This window comes from Homo sapiens, chromosome 4, assembly GCF_000001405.40.
Source record: "Homo sapiens chromosome 4, GRCh38.p14 Primary Assembly".
NCBI classification, from domain to species: domain Eukaryota; kingdom Metazoa; phylum Chordata; class Mammalia; order Primates; family Hominidae; genus Homo; species Homo sapiens.
In genome coordinates this window covers 56,928,492-56,936,107 of record NC_000004.12, presented here as the reverse complement: position 1 = coordinate 56,936,107, position 7,616 = coordinate 56,928,492, and the positions used below count along the sequence as shown (strand labels likewise).

The window sequence follows — 7,616 nt, the reverse complement described above, 5'->3', positions numbered from 1 at the left end:
TTACAGGCGCCTGCCACCACACGCAGCTAATTTTTGTATTTTTAGTAGAGACGTGGTTTCACTATGTCGGCCAGGCTGGCCTTGAAATCCTGACCTCATGATCCACCTGCCTCAGCCTCCCAAAGTGCTGGGATTACAGGCGTGAGCCACTGCGCCCAGCCTGAGAAATAATCTTCAAAAGCCTATTAATACACTTGCAGTTCCAGCAACATAAATTTGGCTTTCCTACATTCTGGATATACCAATAATAAACAAAGGCATCATGGTTTTTAAAACTTTATTTCAACATAACTATGCTTACAGAAATACACTCATATTGGTTAATAGAATGCAATTTAAGTTTAACTTATCCTACATAATTTGGACCAAAAACTTGGTACATGGTTTAGGATTTTAAAAAAGGATTTGCAATCTGGTTTATTTTTATCTATTACAAATGTATAAAAGATCTTCCATCAAATGCTGCTAAAGAAGGCAGCAAGAACCTTGAGAAATTTACCTTTGGTTTGCCTCAGAAAAGTAACACGTATTGCACTGCTTAAGTTTATAAAATTGGTGCAACAAAACATTGTTGTAATGTTTCAATGCCAGTTTAGAAAGTTCAATAACTAATGGATATGGAAGGGACCGGGAGGGAACCTATGTACACATGTGAAACTGTAAAAGCTATCTGATTTAGTTAATATTGCATGTAGATTGTAAATCTACACAAACCAAGATTCAGATAATTTCTTCAATCTGAATTAACACTATCTGTTCACTTCATCTGCTGAGGTCAACCAGGAAACTAGGAACACCAGCTGTAAGTTTTTCTGACTTATGTAAAAAAGAAACTTAACTTTCTTCCTCAGCTTATCAATCCAGAAGTGACAGTATACTACAGGCAAGGTATTCCTTCCATTGTCAACATTCATAGGGTGACATGCAATGAGGTCTACTTGGGTTTTAATTTGTATCAGCACTCATACGCAAAACAGTCTCCAAAGTTAATTACCACATGACTTTAGAAGTGACTCTAAAAAATAAAATGGCCCTTCTTAGAAGACTAGAGCAAAAGATCCAGCCATAGTTATAAGCCTTATTAAAAAAAAAAAAAAATGCAGCCCTTTGTGAATTACACAACTAAAAAAAAAAGTAGCCCCAGAATAAGAAGCAGCTCTGAAAAGAGGAAAAAATATAACTTAAAATATCTTGAAAACCAATGTGAATACAGGTTCAAAAGATAGTTAAGAGATTCATTTTCATAAGACTACCTAAGATTAAGGCTTATAATATATGCTAGTATTTCAAGTTTATCACTAATTACTAAACATCAATTTACAAATAACATGTTCAATTTTTGTTCTTTTATCCAAAGGGAAAATTCTAGGCTAAATTCTATCCAGTGTGGGGGAGGGGGACTAGAAAATAAAAAAGTTTCAAACAGTTCCATGCAAACATCACATTTTTCAAATGGAAAAACTTCCAACTGGACCAGAAGTTCATACTGCTAATGTACTTTTCATTGAAACAATTTTTAGTAAGTACAAATACATGGCATTAAGGTTCAGAACCTAATATAGGCCTGACAATCAAGTCCTTATTTTCTGGAGGAAGGCCTCAAGTCCAATAAATTTCCAGTAACAATGTTTTTACAAATCAATTTAATAATAAGGGGTTTTAATTTCCTTCATGTTTTTGTTTTTAGCATTCTAGTCTTAAGACTAGATTAGAAGTTAGCTCAATTCCCCAAAAGGCAAATGGTTTTTCTTTGCAGTATGAAAGAATCCACAAAAAAACCTCTTCCCCAAACTAATTCCTAATAACCAATCTGTGCTTAAGATGTATCTTTTTCTATACAATGTAAACGGTAACTTAGGTAAAATGTACCCATGAACATTAAAACTAGTCATTAGAAAGACTTAACTAGCTTTATAATTTAAGTTTTAAAACATAAATATTTGCAGCTTGATCTTCTGTTGACAATGATTGTCGGAGCCTAGAATTCAACATTTACAATGTCCATTCATGCACACAAAACACATACCATTATCACACAACTTACTCCTCATGTCTTAAGAGAAGAATCTTCCGCTTCTTTAAATCTTTGGCCTCCCAGTCAATGCCATGTTCAAACAACTTTTAACTCAAACTTCACTCTCAGATTTTTAACAAGCTTTCCACCCACACGTTATTAATGCTTTTCCTAATCTTTCATGTTGTACTGCCAAATCTGAAACCTGCCTCAAAGAGATCATCAGATTTTTAAAAAATGAAATATAAAGTGGTTATTTCAAAACGGAGTATGGGAGGTCAGAATTCAAGATTCCCTAATGGGATCATATTTTATTTTACTGCAATGAATGACTGCTATCAGTAAGAAAAATCCTCTATTGGATTCTTTCACACTCTTTGGCAACTGGCCAAAGAACCTACAAAAATGTTTTGGAGTACATGCCCTTTTTCATACAAAGTGCCCTCATAGGAACACCAGGATAGCTGCAATTCATTTGAGGCCTCACCTATAGAAAGAGGCTATCACACAGACAGCCAGGACACCCACCAGTTTGTGGAGATCCCTGAGAAAGTATGATTTTAAAAAATCTGGACTGTACTTGTTTCACCAGCCTTTTTCACTGTATAGGAAAGTTGCAGCTGGTCTACCAGCACTCATACTACCTTTCTTATCCTAGGTTTGCCGCGTAATAGCTATGGCTTTGGAATCTCCCAAGTGATATTCTATAAAACTTGAAGGAATAATTATATCTCCTAATTCCAGGTTTGTAGTTTCCAAATATCACTTACAGTTCTCTTTATTGTAAAGTAGCCATATGAACACCAACCATCTATGAGAAAAGGTTCTCCTCAAACATTTAACACTCTACAATTAGGAATTAGCTGTACCAAAACACATGAAAAAAAAAACTGATGGTTGGTATTTGAGATAAAAATTTGTTCGACATGCAACCTAGTGGTTTATTTATTGCAAAATCAAAACTGATAGCTGTGAATTTACTACATCCATTCGAAATAAATAAGTTATATGAAATACAGATTCTGGCATAGATATAAGATGTAAAAATCAAAATCAATAGATTGAACCTGCATATTTCATTTGCTCACAAACTTGCACACACTATTATTCTGCAAAATAGACAACTGCAGCAAAGAAAAAGAAAACTGCCCTTTTGCAAACAAGTCTAAAAGCATCCCTCCAAAGACGCCAAACAAAATAAACATGCATATATATATGTATAAAGTGTTACTGTTCAACACAAATGCTATTTCTAGGAAAAATTTAACTGCATAGGCAAAAAAACATAAACAGAAACCAAAAGAAAAAAAAAATGTGCAACATCTTAAGCCATTAAAGCACCAAAATAAAAAACACACCAAAATCACTGTTTTTATGACGATTAACATACACAAATAAAAAATATTGATCAAAACTCAGGAAGTAAATACTTGGACTGATAGACTGTCTATTGCTGGGGGAATTTTTCTTCAATTTAAATGTCTTCTCATCTCTAAAAAAAAAAATCTTAAAGTGCTAACTTTATATAAAGCAGGCAAATTCTTCAAGTAATTTGCTATTAAGTAAGCCAATTTTTTATAGATCTCAATAAAAAACGAAGAATAAACTAAAGTGAAACAGGAAGATAAGACATGGAGAAAAAAATGACAAGTTGTAGCTGGACAAAGCAATAAAATGCTGTTATACCATCTTAGCCTTCTAATTTCAATTAAACACATAAGCTAACAGATACCTGCTGGTTTAGTACACTCTCTTAGATTTACTAAAATTTACACAACAATCAACAGGTATACATAAAAAGTCCTAAGGAAAAGAATGCCACTTAAAAATCAACATCAGATACTAATTAAAGCAATCTTAAAAGGTTGTCTGCTATCATAAATGAATATAAAATGTAATATACCTTACAAACTAAGAACTGAAACCTTGTTCAAAGTTTCATTACTCCTGCCCTTGAGCTGCTTCTTCAAGATAGTACACATTAACCAAATGGCGATTGAGGTGTTTGCTGTAATCTTTTCCCTTTCTGAAAGAACGATCACAGAAGATACAAACAAAATCTCCCTTAGCCGCTTTGACTGCCAAGGCTTCCTTTGCATTTTTTCTGCTAGATTCTTGTGGAACTGGCCGAGCCCCATGCAATCCAGAATCATCACTACCCTCTGACATGTTGTCACTTAGGTCACTTCCTTCATGGCTGTGGATGCCTTCATCTTCATCAATTTCCTGAGACTCATTTGCTGCCATTGTAGCAGGAGGTGATGCCAGTGCAGTTTTGGACACTGCTTCACGTTCTTCTACTGCTGAAGGGGGAAGCATTGGTGAAACTGGTTCTTCAACTGTTGAATTTATACCAGTGAGATTCTCTCTTGTGTTCTGATCAGTGTCCATTTTCATTTCACAAACTATACTGTCAGTCTGATGTTTACCATTTAAAGTTTCACCCTCTGGCGTATTCAAGTTTTGTCCAGAGGATGAAATATGGGTAGATTCGTTGATATTAGCAGCAAGACCAGGTAGGCTCTCATCTGCCTCTTCTGCTCCTACTTTCTGAAGAGGGGCTTCTTTATTTCCTTCACCTGTGTTGAGTAATTTTTGGTCTCCTGATGCCTCTTCTCTTAAATTTTCCTTTGGCAGTGGTGGTGATGGTGGTGAGAGATCCTCTGTGCTTACACTTTCCTTTAGAAGCCAGCTATCTTTAACAGGCACTAAGCCAACTTCAATAAGGACTTGCTCCTTCCGTGCCCTTTCACTCTGCATGTTAGACTTTTCCTTTTTATCTTTTCGGAGAGGAGGCTTTTTGGAAATTGGCTCCATGTGAAGGGGAGGCTCTCTGGGAGGAGGTGGCTCCCTCTGAGCAGGCTCCTTCTGAACCACCCCCATGGGAGGAGACAACTCCATCTGAACAGGCTCCTTCTGGACCACCTCTATGGGAGGAGACAGCTCTATCTTAACAGGTTCCTTCTGGACCACCTCCATGGGAGGAGACAGCTCTATCTGAACAGGCTCCTTCTGGACCACCTCCATGGGAGGAGACAGCTCCATCTGAACAGGCTCCTTCTGGACCACCTGCATGGGAGCAGATTCTACCTGGGCAACCTCCATCTGAGCAGGTTCCATGGGAGCAGGCCCCATTTGGGCAACCTCCGTCTGAGCAGTCTCCATGGGAGGAGGCAGCTCCATGTGAGCAAGTACAATTTGGGCACCCACCATCTGAGCAGGCTCCACGGGAGGCAGCAGCTCCTTCTGAGCAGGCCCCTCCTGAACCACCTCCATCTGAACAGGCTCGTCAGGAGCAGGCCGTATCTGGGCACCCTCCATCTGAGCATGCTCCATGGGAGGTGGCGGCTCCACCTGAACGGGCCCCTTCTGAACCGCCTCTGTGGGAGCAGGCCCCATCTGAGGAGGGTCCATCTGAGCAGATCCCTTCTCAACAGGTTCCTTCTGAGGAGGCTTACTGCTTTTCTTACTTGATTTATTTTTCAGAGTTTTCTTCTTTGTACTTTTTTTCATGCAAGTATTTTGCTTTTTATTCTCCTCCACTTTGCTGTCACCCTTTGGCACTTCCTGACTATTATTTTTGGATTTGCTTTCTACCTTCTTTTTCTTTTTTGTTGAAGATTCCTCATCATTCACAGGACCATGTAAAGAATGGCTGTCAACTTCCAGCTTCCTTTTGCTTTTCTTAGTTTTACTGAATTTTTCTGAATTGCTTCCTGTATGCACATCCATCTCTTTCACCTCTGTTACTGATTTTCGAGTTCTGGTAGTCACCTGGATCACTGACACATTATTAGAAGGCTTTTTCTCTTTTGAGACATCTCTTTTCTCTGCTTTGACGGACTTTTCATTTTTCTTTCCAGCCACATCCCCTTTTATTTTTGTTTGTTCTATTTCTGTTTTTTCATTGGTAATATTATCAGGCAAGTCAGCCTCTCGTTTTTTGGTTTTCTTTAGTTTCACTTTTGAGACATCCATTGTTTTATTAGGACAAGTAGGATGCTTAGATTTGAAGTGATACTGTAGATTACACTTCTTGGAAGCTGCATAGTCACATACAGGGCAATTGAACTGCCGTGGGTTCACATGTAGCTCTACATGTTTTTTGAAGTTGCTTCTATCTGCTGTTTTGTAATCACAGTGTGGGCAATTAAGAGGTTTAGGCCCATTGTGAACCTGTCTTGCATGGCGGGTTACTTCATGTTGATTAGAGGCCACATAACTGCACTGATCACATTTAAATGGCTTCTCACCTGAAGGCAAATCAAAAGTATGAGAGAAGACATAGATTAAGACAAATTCAAGATTAAAATATAAAGAACTGTATATGTAAAGTAACAACAAAGACTATTTAAAATGCTGTATCATGCACCTTACATTTACCATATTTATTTGTATAACATTTCTCTATCCCTTGACATTGATTCTCAAAAGAGAGGAATAAATCTCAGTTAACCACAAGCTTCAAAAAAGTTCAAGTTAGAGTCCTCAAGCACTACTAAAGAACAGAGATTCTTTAAGACATACACATATTGGCAAAGTTCAATTGGGCTCTGGATGTTAATTTGGAGGAATATTATCAACTTAAAAATTTTTTTGTGTGTTTAGTTAAATGCCTAATGGAGTAGAAAATAAAATTCTGGCCAGGTGCAGTGGCTCACAACTATAACCTCAACTCTCTGGGAGGCCATGGCAGAAGGACTGCTTGAGCCCAGGAATTAGAGAACAACCTGAGCAAAATAAATCAAAACAAAATTAACTTTGGGAGGCCAAGGTGGGCGGATACCTTGAGGCCAGGAGTTTGAAACCAGCCTGGCCAACACGGTGAAACCCCATCTCTACTAAAAATACAAAAAAAATTAGCTGGGCGTGGTGTTGCACACCAGTAATCCCACCTATTCAGGAGGCTGAGACACGAGAATTGCTTTAACCCAGGAGGCAGAGGTTGCAGTGAGCTGAGATCGCACTACTTCACTCCAGCCTAGGTGACAGCGAGACTGTGTCTCAAAGAAAAAAAAAAAAAAAAAATTAGCCAGGCATAGTGGAGTGCACCTGTAGTCCTAGCTACTCGGGAGGCAAAGGCGGGAGGACCGCTTAAGCCCAGGAATTTGAAGTAGCAGTGAGTTGTGAATGTGCTACTGAACTCCAACCTGGGCAACAGAGCAAGGCCCTGTCTCAAAAATAAATCAATACATAAAATTCCCAGCCAGGTGCGGTAGCTCACACCTGTAAATCCCAGCACTTTGGGAGGCCAAGGCAGGTGGATCACCTGAGGTCAGGAGTTCAAGGCAAGCCTGGCCAACATAGTAAAACCCCATCTCTACTAAAAATATAAAAAAATTTAGCTGGGCGTGGTGTTGCATGCCAGTAATCCCACCTACTAGGGAGGCTGAGACACGAGAATTGCTTTAACTCAGGAGGCGGAGGTTGCAGTCAGCTGAGATCCCACCACTTCACTTCAGCCTGGGCGACAGTAAGACTTTGTCTCACAAAAAGAAAAAAAAAAAAAAATTAGCCAGGCATGGTGGAGTGCACCTGCAGTCCCAGCTACTTGGGAGGCAAAGGCGGGAGGACCACTTAAGCCCAGGAATCTGAAGTAGCA

At 38.8% G+C, this 7,616-nt stretch overlaps 1 protein-coding gene across 5 annotated transcripts in view; it reads right to left on the bottom strand.

Annotated features, from left to right (window-relative positions):
- REST (RE1 silencing transcription factor) overlaps positions 264-7,616 on the bottom strand; it is a 27,945-nt gene continuing 20,592 nt past the window's right edge. For all 5 annotated transcript variants that reach the window (NM_005612.5, NM_001440532.1, NM_001363453.3 and 2 more), the window contains one exon: positions 264-6,267. In NM_005612.5, coding sequence (NP_005603.3) covers positions 3,956-6,267 — 2,312 coding nt within the window. In that variant the 3' untranslated portion in view covers positions 264-3,955. The remainder of the gene's footprint in view (positions 6,268-7,616) is intronic.